The sequence below is a fragment of the Homo sapiens genome, chromosome 2 (assembly GCF_000001405.40).
Source record: "Homo sapiens chromosome 2, GRCh38.p14 Primary Assembly".
Classification (NCBI taxonomy): Eukaryota; Metazoa; Chordata; class Mammalia; order Primates; family Hominidae; genus Homo; species Homo sapiens.
This window is the reverse complement of record NC_000002.12, coordinates 51,972,548-51,996,869: the sequence shown is the minus strand read 5'-3', so window position 1 is coordinate 51,996,869 and position 24,322 is coordinate 51,972,548. Positions and strand designations below refer to the sequence as shown.

General features: G+C 34.1%; 2 long non-coding RNA genes across 2 annotated transcripts in view; one reads left to right on the top strand and one right to left on the bottom strand.

Moving 5' to 3' along the window:
* Nucleotides 1-24,322, bottom strand: part of NRXN1-DT (NRXN1 divergent transcript) — a 1,375,317-nt gene that overhangs the window by 411,048 nt on the left and 939,947 nt on the right. The gene's annotated exons all lie outside the window — the stretch shown is intronic.
* On the top strand, nucleotides 12,584-20,181 carry LOC105374597 (uncharacterized). The gene is made up of 4 exons (XR_940081.3): nucleotides 12,584-12,851; nucleotides 16,875-16,942; nucleotides 17,165-17,239; nucleotides 19,915-20,181. It is a non-coding gene; the product is annotated as an uncharacterized LOC105374597 (long non-coding RNA).

Below are 24,322 nucleotides of genomic sequence, written 5' to 3'. Positions count from 1 at the left end.
ACTTGACCTGAGTCTTCAATGCAGTGCCAATATTTAGGAAATGTCATATTGTAGAGGGCTTGGGGCTGCAGTGGAGGGCAGAAGGATGGAGAACATTATACCGTTTCTTGTGGAAATGACATAGTCACACGTATCTTTGCTCTATTTTAGGTCTCTATCTTGATTTTACACCATTTCCTGTGGAAATGACATAATCACATATATCCTTGTTCTATTTCTGGTCTCTATCTTGATTTACTGGTATACCTGATTATTCCTGCTCAAAACTAAGGAGAAAAATATGTTTTATTTTGTTTTCTTACAGATCTTCTTTCAACTCTTCCTGGAAAATGCACTCACCCTCACCATGTCCTTCTGTGAAATTTTTCCTTACCTTTCTCTAAATGCATTATTTGAATGCGAGTTGTTTTCTTCTTAAATATTCAGCACCTCTATAGCCCACAATGAATCACACTTACTAGTTTGAGAAGACATAGCAAAATAGTAGATGAATAATCTTAAGAAAATAAAACAGTATTGTATTCATTAAAAACCTACTAAAATAAATTCCAGATAGCATAAATTTAGCAGGAAATTGTCTCAGATTTCCAAATAAGCAGATAATTCCTTTATTGAAATTGTTATATGGCAAATAAAAATAAAGATCTGGAATATTTTTACAAAACCTCATTGTATTACATAGGGAACTATAAATAAAACCAGAAAAAGTCATAGAAGTGCTGGCATGCATTACATTAAAATAATAGCAGAATACATTCTTAAAATTATAATCATGAGGCCAGGCACAGTGACTCACGCCTGTAATCCCAGCACTTTGGGAGGCTGAGGTGGGTGGACCACAAGGTCAAGAGATTGAGACCATCCTGGCTAACATGGTGAAACCCCATCTCTACTAAAAATACAAAAACTTAGCCGGGTGTGGTGGTGGGCACCTGTAGTCCCAGCTACTCGGGAGGCTGAGGCAGGAGAATGGTGTGAACCTGGGAGGCAGAGCTTGCAGTGAGCCAAGATTGTGCCACTGCACTCCAGCCTGGGCAACAGAGTGAGACTCCATGTCAGAAAAATAAATAAATAAAAATAAAAATTATAATCATGATGCATTATGTTCAAATCAGGATAACTTTTGATGCTTCAATTTTAGGAATTATTTTATTAGAACACATCATATTAAGAGGTAAAAGGAAAAAGGCCTTCTCAACAGATGACATGCTATGATATTACACTCAATAATCTTTTCTCATAAAAATATGTGGTAAAATACAAATGCTGATAAAAAATTCAACATGGCATAACTCCCAAATTTTAAATGTAAATTCCAAGCTGAATGACTCAGAATCCCACTGGGAGTTTATGTAAATGATGAGGAAGATTGTTGTGGTAATTCTTACATTATAAGTAATACAATGTAACAAGGAGAGGGACAAGAGACACATCAGAGTATTTCCCTTCTAAAGCATTACAAGCCTCATTATATGATGCAATAGGAAGTATGCAGCATCCCCAATAATGTCTTTGCCTACAAAATTGAAAATGAATCTAAATTTACATGCGTCTCCCAGAGGAACAAGTTAAACAACAGAACTGTTTTGAATTACTTGATTTATTGATAGGAGTATATGTTGTATTTACAACCAGAGTTGTAAAAGACTCTTAGTACAGAGTCTTTAAAGGAAAATGGTAAATGCCTTCCTGATTGTGCCCATGACCTTGTAGGACCTCCCTCGTCACTGTCTCCATTCTCTCTTCTCTGCAGAAGTGGTTTGCTTTAATGTGTTTTCCCCGGTTACACTCTTGTATCAGGTTTTCCCCCTTATTCTCTTCTGTACCTTTGTATTAAAGCTTAATTTATAAAGTCTTTGCCCCTAGACCTTATATATTAAATTCCACCTGATTTTTTGCTCCAGTTTTCTGGGCCAGCTCAATCACTTCTTTCCCTAGCCCCAGCATCCTAAATCCAAGCCTACTCATATCTGAGACCCTGTCTACCGAGAAAGAGTTCAGGCACTTTTCTCACTTTAGACACCTTTTTTTTCTTTTATTTCTCCTAAAAGACAAACCCACACAAACAAGTTATTTTTTTAAAAATGTCCTCTTGAACACCTGAGTAGCAGTTGCCCTAGCCTTCTCCATCTAAGTCAGACATGGTTGCTTCTGTGCCTCCAGCCTTGCAGCCTTCCACAGGGTCACCTGCTGAAGTTGTCAGGAATGCCAGCACCTTCCAGAGATATTGCATACAGGCAAATCTGCAACTGAAATGTGATCTGCCCCCTTGTAGGGCAAACTAGAAGTGCCAGAGAGTTAACAGTCAAGACACTTCTCACTCTGGGAGGGTGGGTGTCGGTGGCAGATTTATAGCCTCTCATAATGTGCCAATTTTTGAGGCAGTTCTTCACAGACCCACAGACATAAGGCATTGCCTTTTATACAAAAGAAGTGTCAGTATTCATGACATTCTCTTCTCATTTTCTAGTCTCTCAGTCTACTGATGTCTGTCCTCTTCACCTTGTAGAACAGGATTTGATGGACTTATGCCAAGCTTCTCTCAGTGCTCCTGTTGAGCTCACCACTGTGCCCTGGCTCAAACAACACAGTCCTTATCACAGAGTAGGTAGAAATGTATTTCTAAAATTACCTCTGTCTCCATGAATCAGCAATGTTTCCTCTATGTTCTACATAACTGTCACTTATATCTCCCATCTCTCACACACACACCCATGCACACACATACAGGCATGCACATGCATACCCAAAATGCACAAACATTGATCTCACATGCTCTACCAGCCTCTTCCCTATCCCCTGCCCATTTCCTTCTCTTTTAAACTCATTATCCACATATAAATTACAGGGATCTGTCTGAATTACAAATCTGATGTCACCACACTTCTTTCAAAATCCTCTGTTCCCTGCCTAACAGCCTACAGGATGAAGTCTGTCTCCCTCATCTGCCTGTTGAAGATCTTAACACTGTCTTCCTCTCTTGCTCCCTTCTGTCCATTCTTGCTGTACATATCACTTTAGGGTTACTGAAACTTGACATGCTTCCTACTTCCTCCCACCAAGTCTTTCTGATTTGGTCCAATCTGTTTAGAATGAGCTATCTTACCTTTTATCCTTCCTTCCTTATGTTCTTCTTTCTATTACTCTAACTGGCTAAGTTCAGTTCAACCTTTTAAATTTAGCCAGTAATGGGAGGCTGAGGCGGGTGGATCACAAGGTCAGGAGATCGAGACCATCCTGGTTAACACAGTGAAACCCTGTCTCTACTAACAATACAAAAAAAAAAAAAAATTAGTCAGGTGTGGTGGCGGGCACCTGTAGTCCCAGCTACTCGGGAGGCTGAGGGGGGAGAATGGTGTGAACCCGGGAGGCGGAGCTTGCAGTAAGCAGAGACTGCACCACTGTACTCCAGCCCAGGTGACAGAGCTAGACTCCATCTCAAAAAATAAAATAAAATAAAATAAAATAAAATAAAACAAATTTAGCCAGTTAATCCAGAGTACCTTGTCTACCTCTTTAATGAAAAGTACATTACATTTCATAAGAACAATCTTTGGGAATTTATCTTTTTCACTATATTTTAAGTTTCTTGTAGACTGAGTTTCTGTTATATACTTTGTACAGCATGTGACAAATAGAGAGGCTTTTAAAATACTGCCAATAAACCAAACAAATAGCTTAATAAATGCATTAGAAATGAATTGATCATTGTAAAAAATTCCTAACATTTCTAAATCATAGCTTCCCCATATCATAAAAGGTGCTATTAACAACTACTATACATAATTTTTTTAGTGTGATGAATCTTTGGAGAACTAGAATAGTATCTGGCTCATATAAGCAGATAATATTATTAGTTTCCGTGGCAGATTGTATTTTCCAACAATGGCCACTCCAATATATATCTCATCTTTCAAGCCCTCTGTCTTAGTCTGTTTTCTATTGCTTACAACAGAACAATAGAAACTGGGTAATTTATAAGAAAAAGAATGTATTTCTTACAGTTAAGGAGGCTAGGAATTCCAAAGTTGAGCACATCTAGAGAGAGCTTTTTTTGGTAAAAATTATCTGCAGCATCTAAGACGGCACATGTCATTACATGGCAAGGGGGATGAGAGTGTTAACACGCTAACTCAGGTCTCTCTTTCTTTTCTTATAAAGCCACCAGTTCCTCTCTCATGATAACCTGTTAATTCACAGACCTGTTAATCATTAATCCATGAATGGATTGATCTATTCATGAGGGTAAAGCCCACACAATTTAAAGATCTCTTAAAGGTCACACCTCTCAATAATGCCTCGTGGACAATTAAGTCTCAACATGAGTTTTGGAGGGGATACTGAAACCATGGGACCTACTAAAACATGATGTTGACACTTGTCCATTAAGAGGTAGAATCTATGCTTGTAGGCAGGGCATATGAAATTAGGTGATAGAAAACATATGGCTTCTAGTTGTTGCCGTACCGGAGAGATCACTTGGAAAGCCTATATAAGGAAAGAGAAAGATGCCCTCAGACTTTAGCTCTTCCGGCCCCGGTAGTTTGTGTATACCAACTGAGGTTACAGATGTTGTAAATCAGGGACATCTTTCACTGATGTGGATACCTAAACACTTGACCCACAGAATCTGTGAACCTAATGAGTATTTGCTGTATGCTGCTAAGTTCTAGAGTAACTTTGCAGCCATAGTAACTGAAAGTTTCAGTGCTACCTCAAATATTCCATATGAGCAAAGGTAAGGATCAATCTTACACAAAATATATTTAAAACCCATTTATCTGTGTTCTTTATATGCCTTAATAATGTTTGACTATAACATCAGAAAGACAAATCACTAGGACAACAGAGGCAGGATAGATTTATCAACTTATTTAATATTGTTTCCTTTACGCCTGTCAATTTTAGTCAAAAAGAAGCAAACAGAATTCCCAATTGAGATTCTATGGTACACAGTTAGAACATAGAGCTCTAAAGTTCAAGACAAGTCACTGGTTTCAAACTCAAACTGGATGAGTTCATGCTTACCGTAGAGTCAAGTCACAGTAAGAAAAAAAATAAAGAAAAATATGGTGGTAGTGAAGATTGTTTCAATGTGAAAATTGTGGGAGGAGGCATAAAGTTTTCTTTGCAGAGTGACTTAGGAGTCAAATGTAATAGAAAAGAAAAAAATGGGACTGTGACTGCTTGGGAGAAAAGTAACAAAGAACTAATTAACCTGCACAATAAACACCATGTTTTGCATATAGGTGGACATGCAGATATAAAGAATTCTGTTACTAAATTTAAAATAAGCAATTTGTTTTCAATGTTATATAATCAAAAGTAATTAGCACAAAAAGTTTCTACATTTTTATCCTTAGTCTTCTCATTTTGGCTAAACGTTACTTGCAATATTTTTGAATTCTTTTAATATTTAATTGGAAGAGTGTTCTTTTCATTTTAGTTAAAAGTAGAAGCTAGGAAGGAACAGCAGAAAATTTCATTCCTTTAGTGTTATGAAAAGATATGCTATTATTATCTTCAAACCTGAGATGACATTCTGAGTTAATCCATGTCCTCATTTCATTCAACATTTCCTGACACTTAACGTATCCCAGACATGCTATGCACCAGGAATATTAAGATCACATAGAAAACTCACATTTTAATGTGGGGTAGGGGTGCAGTCAGGTAACCGTAAGGAAAAATGTGGCCAGTGTTAAAGTAAGAATTTATTCTTGCCTTTTTGCAGGAAGTATAAAATCTTCTACATGTTCATCTGTCTCTAACTGGCCTTTTATTTATTTTTTTATCTCAGGACACTTACATAAGGATGATCACAAATATATAATGGTGTCCTTTTGAACATTTATGGAGACAGCATCCATCAGCTACTACTTATTTTCCTTTAGTTTCAAACTCACTCTTTTGTGATCTATGGTGCTGTGACTGAACTCTGCAAACTACATTCCCCAGACACCTTTGCCATCTGGCTTCCAGTTAATTTTTGTCAACAGAGGGCATAGAGGACTGGAAGGCAGGCAGGAAGAAGCAACTGTACTTTCTCTTCAGCATAGCATCTGCAGGGAGAGTTTCTCTCACTAGTAGAAGTTTGTTTCAGCCAACTACACTTCACCTAGCAGAGACAGTTGGTTGTAGATGTTAGCCTTTTTAAGAGTTCCTATAAAGAGTCTCATCAACACCCTATCCCTCCCTCCCACTACTCCCAGCCAGGTACCAGCAACAGCCTTACAAAGCCCCATCAATAAAGGTTTGAGCCATATTTTACAAAAAAGGATTAGATACCTTATATAAAGTGTCTTCTGTTGAAATGCTTAATGTATTTTTTTGTTTCCCTTACCAAACCTTGGTGAAACTTGACACAAATGTATAGAAACAAACATAAAACTACAATAAAGGTGCAAGTATTTAAATGTAGCTTTTATTCTTTCTTTCCTGATTTTTTTACATGCTTCTACAGAAATTCACGAATTCATTGGTAAGGAGTGTTTTATTTCATGTGAGTGTGAATGTAATAATCAATTATATGAAATATAGAAAATAGTTACACAGAATATCTTGCCATACATCTACTCTAATTTTGAGTTTTTTGAGGTTTTGAATCTCCCACCCCATTTTTCTCTATTTATGGCAGATAAGAAAATATTATATAGTAATTACTCAGGGATAATTTCCCCTATTATCTTTTAAATTATCTTCAGTAACACCACAAGAATAACATATTAAATGCATTAAATATATATATTTTTAAAAACCTGAGTTTATACTACAGAAGGAGAATAAGATATTTGGATGCATGCTGAGATGTAAAACTGAAATATACATATAAATTAAGTTATATTAAAATTGATACGATATAAATTTTATATATTATGTGTAAAATTTGATGCCTTGAAATCTCTAGATAAAGGGAACATATTGGAGGCATTTTCTCATTTTTATAACCTTATTAATTAGAACAGATTTGGAAAAATTTGACTCAAATCATGACAATCATGATTTATAATTTCCAACTATATACCATTTTATTTCTTTTACACACTCAGTTTAATTAACTGCTATCAAGCATTTTATAATTAGAGATTCAGCTGGATCACCTTCAATAACTAGATGAGACCTATTTGAAATTAACAGCATCCATTTTCCATTTAAATGGTGCTAAAATATCGAATCGAAAATTTCCTAAGGAAATTAAAATACTTTCTCATTACCTATCTGCATCATATAATTACATATCAAACCTCTTCTCTGAGATGGTAAGAATAAATTCTTCATCTGGTTCAGTTAAATATCACCAATTACAAAATACAGTTAAGTGACTCTCTAATTTCAATCCACAAAAATCACACTGGGTTGTTTATTAAACACATACATTTTTTGGGTTATTACCCAGCTACTGAATACCAATCTATGGGAGACAGGCAGAAATATCAACATTTTTAAGTAGCATATTAGTTATTTCTTGTACCAATAATCTATAAAACACATTTATACAAATAGTAGGGTAGTTTTGATTCTTTATATCTCTATTACTACAAAAGCAAAAATTGACTGGCTAAGACTAGCTGGGATACTAAAATAGGAACACATTTCTAATAAATTATTTGTAATTCAGTATTTAAAACATTAAAAAAATTAAAAAGCAAATTAAAATTGATATATTTTATCACCCATTTTTCTCTTTAGTCTCATCTCTTTCAAAAATCATGTTTTCCAAAATAAGCTCTCTGACACTTCTGATCAAGAAAACACTATTCACAAAAATTGCTGTGGATTCTCACCTCCCTTATCCAGTCTTGGACTAAAACACAATAGGATCTTCTGTGGTTTCAAAAATCTACAATAGGCCTGGCGCGGTGGCTCTCGCCTGTAATCTCAGCACTTTGGGAGGCCGAGGCGGGTGGATAATGAGGTCAGGAGTTCAAGACCAGCCTGGCCAAGATGTTGAAACCTCTTCTCTACTAAAATTACAAAAAAATTAGCCAGGCTTGGTAGCGGGTGCCTGAAATCCCAGCTACTCGGGAGGCTGAGGCAGAGAATTGCTTGAACCCGGGAGGCGGAGGTTGCAGTGAGCCGAAATTGTGCCACTGCACTCCGGTCTGAGAGACAGAGCGAGACTCTGTCTCAAGAAAAAAAACAAACAAACTACAATATATTTAAATTTGTCCCCTAAATAAGATTCTATCTTAGAAATGGAATCTGAATTCATGTGAACTACTGAAAAAAATTCTGATTATATAATCCGTGGCTTCCAGAGTTCTAGCCTAAGGCACTACATTTATTAATGTTCTAATTCATTTGTGTGTTTGCTGAGGAGTAGGGTAGGTTTATCAGGGAGACACAGAACTCACAGAGCTGAAGTTTTCCTCCAAATTCCAGTTCTCTTACTGTGTGGTGGTCATTCTTAAATTCAGAGTATGTTGTTGATGATTGCCTGTCTGATCCTGCCTCTCACCTAGCTCCCTATTACTGCTTTGAATAATGTTAAAAATCTTTCTGATGTCATAATACTCTTTTTTGGACCTCTATTAACATACATACACACATTTTTAGCTGCAAGGATACCAGATCTTCCTTCCCAAACTCACTCATGTTGAAAAATAAGAGACTTTCTCACAACTAGAAAGCCAGAAAGGATTGGAATTTTACTCTTATTGTGACATATCTGATGTAGTTTAGCTCTGTGTCCCACCCAAATCTCATCCAAATTGTAATTCCCATGTGTCAAGGGAAGGACCAGTAATCCCCATGTGTTGAGGGAGGGAGGTGATTGGATCATGGGTGTGGTTTTCCCCATACTGTTCTCCTGAGAGTAAGTTCTCAGGAGATCTCATGGTTTTATAAATGTTTGGAAGTTCCTCTTTTGCTCTTCTCTCTCCTGTCACCTTGTGAAAAAGCTGACTGCTTCCTCTTCCATTACGATTGTATGTTTCCTGAGGCATCCCCAGCCATGTGAACCTGTGAGTCAATTAAACCTCTTTTCTTTATAAATTACCCAGTCTCAGGTATCTCTTTATAGCAGTGTGAAAACAGACTAATACAACATCCCTCAGGTTATATAAAGGTATTATCAGTATCTCATCATAGACATTAAAATAGATGAAAAAGTAAATTTTTGTACAAAAGCAGTCATTGAAAGCCAATAGCCAGAAACATCTAGAGTGACATAGTGCAGAAGCAAGAAAGATTGCACAGCTCCACAGGACCTCCATGTCTCACTATGCAGCATGCAACAAAACTGCTGCTGTGATAATAGGTAAGATAAACCTGTTCCTTCATCAAATAAACACAATTGGTTGCTTCTGTGGTTCAAGATGTCAGACAACTCTTCTTTTCACTTCATAAAGATGTTTATTACCAATGACATTGGCTGATTAGAAGGCTAAGCCTCAGTTACTTGACAAATCTTAAGTGGAATGCAGTATTTTTGAGTAATATTGGATAAATGAAGTATTATTGTCAATTAAGCAATAGTTGTAGCTTATTTAATAGCATTTTCAGTGAATTCTCAAATTATTACTGAGGAAAATGTGACAGTGCTTCAAAGCAGTAGTAATTTTTTCTCATTATGCTGCATTTATTATTAAAACCAACAGTGGACAGTGAATGACTAACTGATCCTTTTTTGGGAATATTACTTCCAAATGAACGTTAACTTAAAGATTGGAATATGAACACACTATTGCTTTTACACTAGAGAGGTTACTCCTGGCCACTCTTTCAGCAGCAGTTAGCTTCAGGAATTCATGTCAGTGATATTAATCATCATTGGAGACATCTTCCCTTTTCTTCAGGATTTCCTGTAGCAGGTGAGAGTGCTAGACTGAAATCTGAAGACAGGCAAAATAGCCTCAAATAGTGTCTCCTGGGGCTCCTAAGTGCTAAGAAGTCTCATTGGACATTGATAGTGCCAAAACAGACATATTTGGGGGGATCATCAAGTCAAAATTTTATATATTTTTATGTGTTTTTTGGAGATAGATTAAATATTTTACTAATTCGGTAGCAACTATGGAAAACAGGTCTTGCTCTGTTAACACCCACTGAGTACTAGTTGCTACTTTAATAATGCTTTTCATGAATGCTCAAATTATTAGTGAGGGAAATATGATAGTGCTTCAACACAGTACTAAAGGTATACCCTACTATACATAGGATATACATTTAGTAAAGAGATGTATAATCATTTTATAATAATATGCTCTAAGTATACTATTATACTTCATTACACTAAAGAGATGAATAATCATTTTATAATAATATAGCCTGGCCAACATTTGTGAAGAGGCCTGTAACATTATTTCAGATTATTATCTTAAAAAAAAAGATTTCAAAAATGATTTTTTGTTCTGAAAAAACAAAAGCTGCTGTTCTTGGGCAGCGAAGCAGGGGAATCATGGTTATCTCCAGACAAATGTAGACAAGGATTCTTACACATATTTTTAAAAAAATAAGATTTGGAAGTCTTTCCTGATCTATTTATAAGAGAAAATGGCAGACAAATGATGGGGAACTGAGGGGAATGCACAAGAGAAAAACCTGTGTTTGAAAGTCTGAGTTTGTCCCTATTCCAAATAAATGCATTGCCAAGAACCTTTAAGGATAATTTGCATCCGCTGCAAAAGAAATGTGATTATAGCTTGTATAATGATGGTTTTGATCACAGGTCCATTGGTCTAAAAATGTGCACTTTTACAAGGGGTCATATTTTCAGGTCTTTCACATGAAATTTGCATAATTATATGCATATAAGTAGCTTTTCTTGTCAAGTAGCCTAAAAATATTGGTACATGTCCAAAGAATCTCAATACTGTGGCAACATTAACAGTTCTTTGTCTTTGCCCTTTCCAAAAATAGAGCCATTATTTTTAAAGTTTATATTACCTTTAAACTTTCCTTTGGTTATTTTGGGAAAATGTTGAGCAAATCCAACTGGCACTAGAGAACATGTATATTAGATAACCATGTTTTTTATTCGAATTTTAAAAATGTTCACATTTTAACCCTCTATAGTTAAGTAGCATCTTTTCCTTGTCTTTCCTTTTGCCTTCTTCTCTACTTCCTTCTTCATTTTGTCTTTCTTTTCTTTCTTATACAATCCCTCTATTCTTTCTTACTTATATATTTCCCATCTGCATTCTCATGGGATTTTGGAGACTTTAAATAATCCACTGAATATAATATAAAAATCATTCATTGAGTTTATAAAAGGTAGAACAGAAAATTACATTTTACTTTAGAAAAATGAATTTGGGTCATAATATACAATACCACTATTATATTTGGAAAAAATGGTTCCAATACTCCTAATGGTTACAATGAAAATATATATAGTACTGTCTAGAAACATTTTTTCTTTAAATTTATGCAAAACTTTTCAATGAACAAATCTTTACTGAGTAGCTAATATGACCATGCCCCATGTTAGATGATTACTACATGGTGGGAAACAAGATACGTATACATACATACATTACATGCTCTCATGCAGCCTACAGTCTAGAAAGACCGGTTGACAATATATAAGTAAAGACACAAATAAAGTTTTATTTATTGTATGATGTGGTCTGAAGGAAATAAGCAGCATGGCATAAAAGAAAGGAAAAATTCAGAGTTTTTTTCTCTAAAGATGGAACATAAGCTGAAAATGGAAGGCTGAGACAGAGAAACCTCTGTAAACAGTAGCAGGGTTTATATTTCAAACAAAGCAACATACTTGAAGAAGGGAAAACCTGAGAATAGCACGTGAACTGAGAAAAAGCCAGTGTGACTGAAGTGTACTGAACAAGGTAGGCTGTGAGATGAGATGAGATTGCAGAGAAAGGCAAAGGCAGCTTATGCCGTGCATCATAGGTCTGTAAGAAGTTTTAATTTTATTGTAAGTGATAAGTAAGATAGTAGATGACATTAATTTCATTTATGTGTTTTAAATATTAATTTGGCCACTTTCTGGGGAATGAAATGAAACAGAGCAAGAGTAGAAGCAGAAAAACTGATTATGAATCTATTGTTTCAATAGCTTGTTTGTACTTTGCTTGTAGCAGTGAAAGGGTGAAAACTAAAGGGATTTGGGATATATTTTATAATGATATAAAAATAAATTTGTTGATAGTCTGATTATGAGGCACCAGGAAATGGTGAAAGTCAGGATGGGGCTTGATTACTAAAGTATATGGTGTTGCTTTTGCTTAGATGGAAGTGCATGGGATAAATTAATACAGTGATAGAAAAGAGGGATGGTGAGGAAAAGGGTGAGAAGAGAATAAAGAATTAAGTTGTGTAACTGTTAATTTTGAGAATGTTATATCCATGTCAAGAATATTAAGGAGATAACTTGATATTTGGATTTGAAGCTAGGAGGGGTCTATGTCAGAGATTCTAATTTGAAATGACCAAAGGTGAAATACATGATGAGAAGAGGGCCTTGTACTGAGTCCTTAAGCACTTCAGCACTTAGACGGTGAATATGGATCTTTGGAAGACAATTGTAAAGATCAGCCAACAGGTGGGGAAAAATCAGGATTCTACAGTGTCATGGAAACAAAGACAGAGAATGTTTCAAGACATAAGGGGCAACTGACAGTTGAATACAGATGAGAGTTTGAGTCCATTGGAATTGTCCCTAAACATTTGGGTTTTGGTAACACTGATAAGTGGAATTTCATTGAAGTGTAGCCAAATGGCAGTAGATTAAAATGTGAATAAGAGAAAAAAGTGGAGTGAAAAGTGTATGAATACACATCTTTTGAGAAGTTTGACTATAAAGAATAGCAGATAAATAGAATGTGACAGCTTAAAAAAGTTCTCTCTTCCTCTTTCCAAAAGATATTTGAAAGACTAAATTTTAGGTATGTAAGTAAAGTGATATCCAGAGTACATTTTCTTAAGATAGTAACATAATTTTATTATTGCGCAGCTACAGCTAACTTATTTTATTTTTACTGACATATTTATATGCAATAAACATAACCTACATTTGAAATGTAGATAATGTAGAAAACATTCTAGAATCAGGCTTAAATTTTTGTAATTATATAAAATCATCTAGCCACCAACATAATGAAAATATCAAATAGTTTTATCACCCTAAGAAGTTGACTTATGCTTTGTTGCAATCAATCCCTTCTCCAGTATTCAACTACAGACAATCACTAATCTGTTTCTGTCACTGTAGTTTGTCTTGAAAGTCACATAATGGAACCATGTAGCATGTGTAACTTGTGTTTGACTTCTTTCACTTGGCATAATATTTTTGAGTACCATCCATGCTGTTGCATGTATTAATCCTCTCCTCTCCTCTCCTCTCCTCTCTTCTTTTTTGAGATGGAGTCTTGCTCCATTGCCCAGGCTGGAGTGCAAGGGTGCGATCTTGGCTCACTGCAACCTCCGCCTCCCGGGTTCAAGCGATTCTCCTGCCTCAGCCTCCCAAGCAGCTGGGATTACAGGTGCCTGCCACCATGCTTGGCTAATTTTTGTATTTTTTAGTAGAGAAGAGGTTACTCATGTTGGTCAGGCTGGTCTTGAACCCCTGACCTCAGGTGAACCACCTGCCTTGGCCTCCCAAAGTCCTGGGATTACAGGCATGAGCCACCACGCCTGGACCAATATTTTGTTATTTTTCTATTGCTAGTTACCATAGCATTGTATGAGTATCTCAAAATTTGTTTATTCACTAGATGATGTATATTGGGTTGTTTTAGCTAGTATAAATCATTAACATTCAGTGTACAAGTCTTTCTGTATGCCTTTGTGTTTATTTTTCATGAGTTGGTACTCAAAAATGAAATTTCTGAGTTGTATGGTAAGTGCATATAAAAGCTCACGAGATAGTGCCATAATGTTTTCCACAGTGGCTGTTCAATTTTTCATTTATTCTAGCAATGTCTCTGAAGTTAGAGTTGCTCCACATCCTAACCAGAACTTCGTATGTGGTCTGTCATTTTTTGTTTTAGCTTTTCTTATATGTGTGTAGTGATAATGATTTGCATTTCTTTTACTAGTGAATATTCTTTTGAGAAGTATCAGGTCACATTTTTGCCTATGTGTAACTTTTAAAAATTTTTTATGTTGTCTTATTTTTGATTTACTACAAGGAACCAAGGGGTTCTTGGATAAATGGCTGATTCCACGGCTGGAAAAAGGAAAATATAAGATGGGCCTGAAGCAAATAAAGATGTGCTTTAAAAAACAGAAAGATAAGATAGGGGAATGTTAAAGGCATATAAGAATCAATTTGGAAGAACTCACAACGGCTAGTCTGGAAAAATTTGAACAAACAAAATTAACAGGACAGTCATAGATTATAACCCAATGTACATAAGAAAAAAATATAAGTTCACAATGATACAAACAATTGAATAAAAAAATTGGAGAAGTAGTAAAGATTATTTGCAGAAATATTTCAGCTACTATGTGTAGATAGTCCCTCAACCAATAATTGAGAAATCGAAAGTCTACATCCAAGCATCATTTTCATTAGTTTATTTAACAAACATATATCGAATAAATGTCTTATATTGTGTACCAAGAAAACAAAGATTAAAAAGGTATAGTCCTTGACTTCATCAGGGAGATGCTTGTTTTTTTTTTTATAGATTTTATTTCATATGTGTTGTTCGTCTTTATGCCTTCTATTATACATAAAGTAACTAAAGGCTAGGAAAAAATTTCAGTCATTTTTATATGCTATATAAAATTTTAGTGTAAAGTTGTGCATGTTTCCTCAACAAGTATTTGATTATTTTTCACATAAAAATGAGGAATAAACAGAAAACAAGATGATTTATCTCACAACTCTCATCTTATTTTTTATATGATTTAAGAAGTAACATATGAATGCTGAGTCATGGCAGAGTCCTAACATATGCTGTCTTGAATGGGATTTCTGCCAAGCAATGCGATACAAAACTATTCTTATTTAACATTTCCAGCAAGATTTTGAAATATAAAATTTATTACATATCAGCACTCTATAATGACCATAACATTGTAAACATCGATTTATTGCTCTTTAAAAACTTTTCATAAACATGATGTTTCACTGGCATTTGCTCATCACTTTTATCATATACTCAGAAATGACAGAGTCAGATCCAAGACTAGATGTATAATATTCTATTATCTTTAGTTAAAATGTTCTACATTTGACTGAATGCTGGAGCTAAATTTTAATCTTCAATTAGTTTTAACAACTGTAACACATTTGAGGGAGTATTTCACTAAATCTATTATTGATCTCTTCTTGGGAGTTGCTGTTATGACATTTTAAAGGTTGATTTTCTATTTTTGTCTTTATGCTTAAAATTGATGTGTAAATAATATAATAATCTCTAAAATTCGTCTTTAAAAAGAAAAGATTTCCTAAGATTTTCTATTAGTACATTTCTGTGTTTAAATTCACTATATTCGGCCAATTATGTAAGTAAACCATCCTGTTGTATTTATATTTTTTATTTCTCATTGCAATTATATTGTTTTAATTCAATATACCAATATTTGTTTTTCCTCTTTTAGGATGGGCGCAGCACCAACTTAGTTTAAAATCTAAATTAATGAAAGACCATACAAATCTATTTATCTTAAGCTAGTATAAACTGTATCTCTGATAAGTAGATGACAGCAGAGTATTTCACTTGTGTGTGTGTATGTTACGTGCATGTGTGTGTATTTTTCATATTCTTTAAGAATGTTTCTCATTATGCCTTTTTTAAGACTGTTTTCAGTGTGGAGTTGTAGCTGCAGACAGAAAGCAAAAGCATTTTTATTTACCTACTGTTTATCCACTTTTAAGAGTACCTCTTTCACTAAGATTTTAAAAAACTTGTTTCTTTTCTTAAAAGACTAAATGTTGCAAGCTTTAAAATTATATTTATTTCAGGAGTGATTGAAAAGCCTTATATATATTTGATTTTGTTGCCTTAAATTGAAGAATAACCTGCTAACAATTTTGCACTTATATTCTATCAAAAAAATGAGCTGTGATATTGTTTCTAGCATTTGTGTTCTTGCACTCTTATGCCTATAACACTTGGCAACATCTACTTCTTTTTGCATTTTCATCTAATATAAGCAGCATCACCTCTCAGAGAAAGGGAAGAGATTTCATATATTCTGACAGTTTAAAGTTTAAACAAAATTTGACTTCTGAGATTTTAGTTGAGCTTTCTAAAAGCCTGAGTTAACTTGGCTAATTTACATTCTTTGTCAACAACTGAAAAGCTTTTTCTGTTAAGTAGATACATGGCAGAGCATTTTACTTGTTGGCTGTTAGAATAAATATAAATAAATTATTTCTCAAATCACTATTGTAAATACGAGCTTTAAGAGTGTTTTTGCATTTCTCATACATGCAGTTCTTCATTTTTTTTATAAGAGCTTGTTCTAACATTATTCATATAATTATTCAATAATTCACATAATTTCATCATTTTTCTTTTATCTGCCCTAATTTTGAATTCTGCCTGCTACTATGAACATTTAAAAGAATTTGGCTACAGGAATAATAGCACTTCTAGAACATACTTAAAAAAAATAAGGTCCCTTATATAGTTTGGAGATGGATTAGTGGAGCAAAAGTACAGTATGACTATTGGTTACTAGAAGACACCTTATTTTCCACCAGATTTAGTTACTCCTGAGTATGCAAATTCTTTTCCAAAACTTATTTCTCAGCCCCTCTTGTATCTTAGTTTCATCCTCAGTGGAAATAGGCAAGCAACTTCCATCTTACTTGTGTCACTCATCCAAGAAACAACACAATTTGTTCATGGTAACAAACTGTCTGGATATCTCATGATTCATTTATTTCTGATCATATCTCAAAAGAGCTATGGATCAGCTAAAGATGACCACCTTTTGTCTTCTCATTATAGGAACCAAGTCTAGAGGAGCTGACACTATCTGGGACATGCAATTCTCAAGTGGATGGATGGAATATGAGGTAAGGAATGAATGCAAGCTGAGGCTACATTACATTGACCAAAGAAAGGCACAGGGCTAAATCTAAAGTAAAAGTGGCTGAAGAATACACAACACCTACAGGGAAACATGGAAAGATATAAGAGACAAGAGGTAACAAATAATCATCATTAAATAAGAAAATCTACCACACTTGCTTAAGCAGAAATTTTTTACTTTATCTTTCTTACTTCCTTGTTGTCAGTGTTTGAATGTGAATATTGCAGCAATCAAGCTTTTGCTATGCAGAGAAGGAATATGAAAAGGAATTAAAGATCAGGTATGAGACAACAAAAAATGAAAAGGAACTGGATAACTGAGTAAACTTTTGGATTAGAGCTCTCTGCAAACTGAAATGGCCAAACTTTTAGATGAAATAGAAAACAACAAATTAAATAATTCTTGTAATATATTTGTAATCAAATTAAACTTCCAAATTTTAACACAGTTGTAGATTCACACGCAGTTATAAACAATTATACGGTAAGATTCTGCTTATAATATCACAATCACGATATTAATATTGACACAGTCAATATACAAAACATTCTATCACCAGGAGCATTCTGACTGTTGACCTATTATAGCCACACTGAACTTATTTTCACCATACCACGTACCCCTCAACCCTTAATTCCCAGTACTTAACTCCAGGAAATCACTTAATCCATTCTCTATTTCTATGATTTGTAACTTCAAGAATGTTATGTAAACGCAATAATACATTATGTAGCCTTTTTGGATTTGTTTTTTCACTCAGCATTATTGTTTAGAAACTCACCTACATTGGTACAAATATCAATAGTTTGCTTCTTTTCTTTGTTGCATAGTGTTCCACTATATAGATGTACCTAAGTTATTTTCCTTTGTTTATTTGCTTGCTTGTTTTTGACCATTTATCCTTTGAAGGACATCTGAGTTGTTTCCATTTGGGGAGTATTATGAATAAAACTTCCATAAATTTCCATGTATAAGTTCTTGTGTGATCGTAACTTTTTGTCTACGATAAATGCCCAGTGGTGTAATTGCTTGGTTGCATGTTAGCTGCATGTTTAGTGTTTTTTGTTTTTGTTTTTGTTTTCACATTGGAAAACTATTTTTCAAAATAGCTGCAATGCTATATTCCCACTAGCAAATTATGACTGATCTATTATAGTTTCTTCATATATTTGCAAGAATTTGGCATTGTGACTTTTAAAAAAGTTTAGCCTTTACAATAGATATGTAGTAATTTCTTGTGGTTTTAATTTTAATTTCTCTTTTGGCTAATGGCGTTGAATATCTTTTCATGTATTAATTTGCTCCTTATACAAATCTGTGTATCCACTTCTGTGAAATATCTGTGTAAGTCTTTTGGAAGTTTTCTTATTGAATTTTTTTGTTGTTGTTTTGTTTCGTGTTACTGTTGAGTTTTGAGAATCCTTTAGGTATTCTAGGTAAAAGTCCTCTGTTGGATATGTGGTTTGCAAATATTTGGCTCAATCTATAGTTTGTCTTTTTATCTCTTAACCAGGTAGTTGGTGAGCTAAAGTTTTAAATTTTGATGAACTTCAATTTATCAATGTTTCCTGTCATGCTTTTGGTATAAATTCTAACTTCTTATTTATCCCAAACTCTGAAGATTTTCTCCTATATAATTTCTAAATTTTTCATGAATTTATATCTTATATTCAAGTCATTGTCTTAGTTCATTTTGTGTTGCTGTAACAAAATAACTGAAATTGGGCAATTTACAAACAATAGAGGTTTACTTGGCTCAAAGTTCCTCCCATTGGGAGCTACCTCCTAACACTGTTGCACTGGGGAGTAAGTTCCAACACATGAACTTTGGAGGACACATTTAAACCTCAGCAGTCATTGATCCATTTTAAGTTATTTTTTGTATAACACATAACACTTAATATAAGTTTTAAATTTAAAAAGTTTAAGTTTTCTACCTATTGATGGTGAATTGCTCTAGTACTGTTTTGTTGAAAATGCTATTCTTCCACTCCTGTATTGCTTTTGAACCTTTGTCAAAAATATGTTGGGCATATTTCTGTGATAAATTTTTTTGGGCTGATTTCCACAATGCCTATTTTATTCCAATAGATCTATGTGTCTGTCCCTCTTGCACTACCACAGCCTTGATTACTGTAGTATATGATAAAGCTTGAAATTGGTTACACTGGTTTCTCTGACTTTCTTCTTCTCTTTTACAATTATTTGAGCTATTTTAGCCTCTTTGCCTTTCTATATACATTTTAGAATAATCTATTTCTGCTTACTGGGAATGTGATGAAAATTATGTTAAAACTTTATATTTATTTGAGGACCACTGACATTTTTACTGCGTTGAATCTCCCAATCTATAACCACAACATAAGCACAGTTTTTAACATTTTTGTCCACTCATTCAAGTTTGGATCATTAGAAAAATTTATGAATTTCCTATCATATTTTCAGATATTGTTATGGATTTTTATATTTGTTACCTCATATATTCCCTATAAATACTTTTAAATTATTTATTAGTTCTTCTAATTTGCAGATGAGAAAAATTAAGACTAAATGATATCAGTTAACTTGCTCAAGTCATACAGGTGGTAAGAAGCAGAAAAAAAAATTCAAATGAGGCCTTTTGAATTCCAAATTTCATCCTTTCTCTTCTATGTATCGAAATCTCCCTTGGATAAAACTGGAACTTCTTTTAACATACCCAGAATGTACGACAGTTATTCTCACTTTTTCTTATTGCCTCTAGCATTCTTTTCCCCTAATATGGAATCATTCTACTTCTCTATCTAGGTGAAACCTAGCAATACATTACTATTGCTTAGAAAGTTTCACCACTCATATTAATCTTTTCATCTACCTTACCCTAGTCATACCGCCACTTTTCTGTAATCCAATTTTGCCTCTAATAAATCATGCAATTTAGAAGTAGTCTCATTTCTATATTTTTCCTCCAAATAGATGCTGAGAATATTGAAGACATGAGCAATTTCCTAATTTTCCTTTTGTGTCTAACCTATTTCACTTGGCACCAGCAACTGATTGTTAAAATGATAAAGTCTCAGCACCAAGAATGTTGGTAATAATCCCCATTTCGTCACTCATTTGTGTTCATCATATTTTTTCCCATCATGTGAGCATAATTTCCTCTGATAGGTGTGTTCGTGAATTCATTTCATGTACCTCTTTTGTGTCAACAAGCATAATAAAAAGCTAACCAAAATTTGAGAAATGTTAGATTGTTTTAAGATAATTAAAGAGAACTAGAGTAAGATATCTGGTATGTGGCAAAACATTAAATTCCTCAGACTCTTGAGAATCTATGTATCATCATAATTTTTGTCATTATTCTCAGTAATGATAGTTGTATATGTCATTGTATGGAACACTGCTTGTTATCACTACTGGTTATTGTCTGTGTTGATTGTGTCAATTTCATACACTCCTTAATGACAAGTGCACGAGAGAATTTTTATTGATTTTTCAATAAAGCACACACATCTATGTTTAAAATTCCATTACTTATGGGTTAAAAATTATGCCTTAGCCATTTTTGAAACCATATCACATATATTTTAATTTTTTAAACCATCTTTTATAAAAACATGACTTCTTCCCTGAAGTTAGTATTTTTAATGTAGAAGGAGTGAAAGACCATTTTGGTATATTTTTCACATTTCTAAAGCATGTGCCTTACTCTTCTATTAATGTGCTGAATATTTGACATCTTTATACACATTTTTTTTTGTTTCGAACATACTAAGTAAAAGACCAATACCCATACTGAAATAAAATTTTCAAACTAAATTTTATGGCGACTTAGTGCCACAAAATATGTCTGTTAATGTGTATGACCTTGTTGGAGAGAACTGCAAGGAGTAGCAGGCTGCTAATTAACTATTTCCAAAACGATGTATCACCTCCATGTGGCTTTCTATGAAAGTTTTCAGCAAAGGAGAAAGTTAATGACATTCTGACTAGGCATCAGTACTGGCATAGATCAAAAATACCATTTAGCATTCACAAACCACAATGGCATCAAAGGATTATCTGAAATATCACAAAGACTTTAGATTTGGGGGCCTCAAAAAATCAATTTGACCATGTGTTTTACTGACCCCCAAGGAACAGGATCAGACAGTAGCAGAGAAACAGGAAATTATCATTTACTTTGTAAGTATTACCTCCTAGGCTCTCAAGGGAAGAGCAAATGCCAAATGAACATCATGGCAGTTCTTTAATATAAAAGTGGGAGTAGGAATTAGAAAAGCTGAGAAAACTAGTAAAATCAAGATTACCTTCATCCTAAGTGCAAATTAGACTTTACCTTTTTGGGAGGTTATTTATGGCAAAGTTTTATAGGTTCTTTTGAGATAGCCAAGAGTCAAATAGAAATAAGGAATCATTTGTAAGAGACATATACTCAGTAGTATATAAATTATAAAAAATAAGAAAAAGAAATATACACTTATTTAAAAATACTAATACCTATCTTTTATTATTCTCTAGGACATTAGAGTATACCAAAATGATATAGAAGGAAGGTGATGAGATAAAAATATTAAAGAGAATAAAATGAAAAATAAGGAATGCAATTAAAAGAGGGGATTAAAGAATGGGAAGGAGAGATGACTACATAAGAATGAAAAGGAGGAGAATGAAAAGGACAATTAGAGAAGATAAATGAAGGTTTGATTATGATGAACCAGTTGTAAACCCTTTGGTTAATTCTCCATTTCCTTAGATATGGGTCACAGTGTATAGTGCCTCTTAGCTCCTTGAAAATCTGATTAACTCATCAACCACTTTTCACAGTTCTGCATCTGTTATTTATCTTTAAACACTTTTGCAGGTCCCACATTGAAGAGTAAAGCTATAACAACTCACCCTTACTCTCCATAACTTGGAGTTTATTAGATTTTCAAAGTTCTGACATTTAACATTAAATAATGGTTATTCCTCTAGAATTTTTTTCACAATCTTTCATGAAAAAGGGCTGCATAATTTTCTGTAAGCCTGTTTTTATCTTCATAAATTCTGAGAGTAAAAGAATATTGATAAAAAGACATAGGACAGTTTGTAAAACAAATATGGAAAAAGAACATCTATCTCAGTTGTAGTTTAAAAAATAAATATAATTAATTCCTGTGGGCTTTCATACTAGGGCCATAAAAATATCCAACTATTATTGAGTACTTATTTATACGCTTGACATGATTCTAAGTGCTTTACATATATTAGCTCATCTAATCTACTACAAGCTTATGAGGTAGGTATTGCTTTTGTCATCACTTTATAAAGTAGTACACTAAGACATAAAGAAGGTTTAATAACTTAGCCCAAGCCACACCTAATAAAAAGCAACACTAGACTGAACTATGACTGCCAGTTTTCAGATGCATTGTCCTTGATCATAGAAAATCATTATCATACATTTATCACCATAATCAAACAATCAGCATTTTGTTATTCTGTCTGAATTGTTTTTTGGTTCTATATCCAGTCATTTTCTTCAGGTTCACGAGTTAACTGTGAAACCTTATTATTTGTGAAAATGCCAATATAGTGAAAATAGAACTTCGCTAAAGTTGTTGAGACAAAGGTAGCCACAAAACAAACAAAATATGTACACTGTATACACAATATTAGTGTTTGATAATGATATTTTGCCATAAAATCCAGAGATGATTTAATTTCAAAATATAAGAAAAGAGCACATCTGTCTGAGACCTTTAGCGCATAATTAGATTCTCAGCTGTTCTGCTTTGATAAAAGTAACCAGAGCTCTTTTGTATTGAAAAGGGCATTGAGCATAAAGTTAGAAACTCTCACTTTTATTCCCAGGCGTACCAGTATGAACTTGGGCTTATCAAGTAAATCCTTGTCCCTCTGTTCATCTCTAATTTGAGGATAATCCAGTATAGTAGCATCTATCCACACTACTGCTCTGTGTTCTTGTACCAAAATTGTAACATAAAAAATGATCCTTTGAAAGGCAGCAGTTGTCTCTTTAAAAAATAATAATAAATCAAACTCTAAATTGAACCTCAGAATGCACAGTGATATGGTTTGGATTTGTGTCCCCGCTCAAATCTCATGTTGAATTGTAATCCCCAATGTTGGAGGAGAGTCCTAGTAGGAGGTGATTACATCACGGAGGGCAAATTTGCTCCTTGCTGTTCTCATAATAGTGAGTGGATTCTCATGAGATCTGGTTGTTTAAAAGTGTGCAGCACCTCCCCTTGGCTCTCTTCCTTCTGCTCTGGCCATGTAAGATGTGCCTGCTTCCCCTTCTGCCATGATCAAAAGTTTTCTGAAACCTCCCCAGCCATTCTTCCTGTACAGCCTACAGAACGGTGAGCCAATTAAACGTATTTTCTTTACAAATTACCCAGTTTCAGGTACTTCTTTGTAGTAGTGTGAGAACAGACTAATACACACAGTAATAGAAAAAATGTATTCTAGAACCAGAGTAACTTGTTTTTAATTCTATCAAAGTGGTAAAATCCATATTTTGTCTTGGTTGGGACCAATTCATTTAAATACCCTAAATCACTCTGATCATGTCATTTAAGAAGGAGCATCTTTATGGAATGGGATGTTATCAATCGTTTTTGGCATCTTCTCGGTAAAAAAGAAAGTTATGTGTTCACAGAGGATCACAAGTGGCTTTCAGAAGTTGAGGAATAAAGCTAACATATATGAAAATGAATGATTATAGTCACCTTTGTGATAATGTGAAGTGTTCATACACATCTCATCACTGAACATAGCATATGTGGCTAATTGGATGCATGTTCATTTTTAGCTTTCCTATCATCTCTACCTCAGTGCCAAGCCACAGTAGGTGCTTCATAAGTACCCACTGCCATTAATGATGACTTCTATCCTTAAGTCAGACTTTTTACATGATTTCACTTTCACAAATAATTTTCTATGTTTTAATAGTATGTAAAATGTCTCCTACTTCAGTGATTTTAAAACTGATTGTGAAGCCCACTCACCTGACCTGTGGAGTTTAAACTTAACAACTCATTCATACAGATTGCATTATTGGGCTTTTGTTGACAGAAGATTAGGAGAGTTTTTATGCTTGGTGAACTACATTTTGAATGCATTTAATTACAAGAAAATGAGTTTTAGTTTATCCCAGTGCTAAGGATGCTTGGGAAACCAGGAAAACTGATAGAAGGAGAGGAGGGAAAATGCAAACTCTGTCACACAGTAGCACCTTGGGAAATCAAGGTGAGCCAAAATTAGAAATTGCACAGAGTTTGTGCAAGTACCATGGGTTGGTAACCCTTGATTTGAGAGGCTGCTTTCAAAGTAAATTAGTGAAAATAAAATTTTCGTAAGGACTTCTAAAATC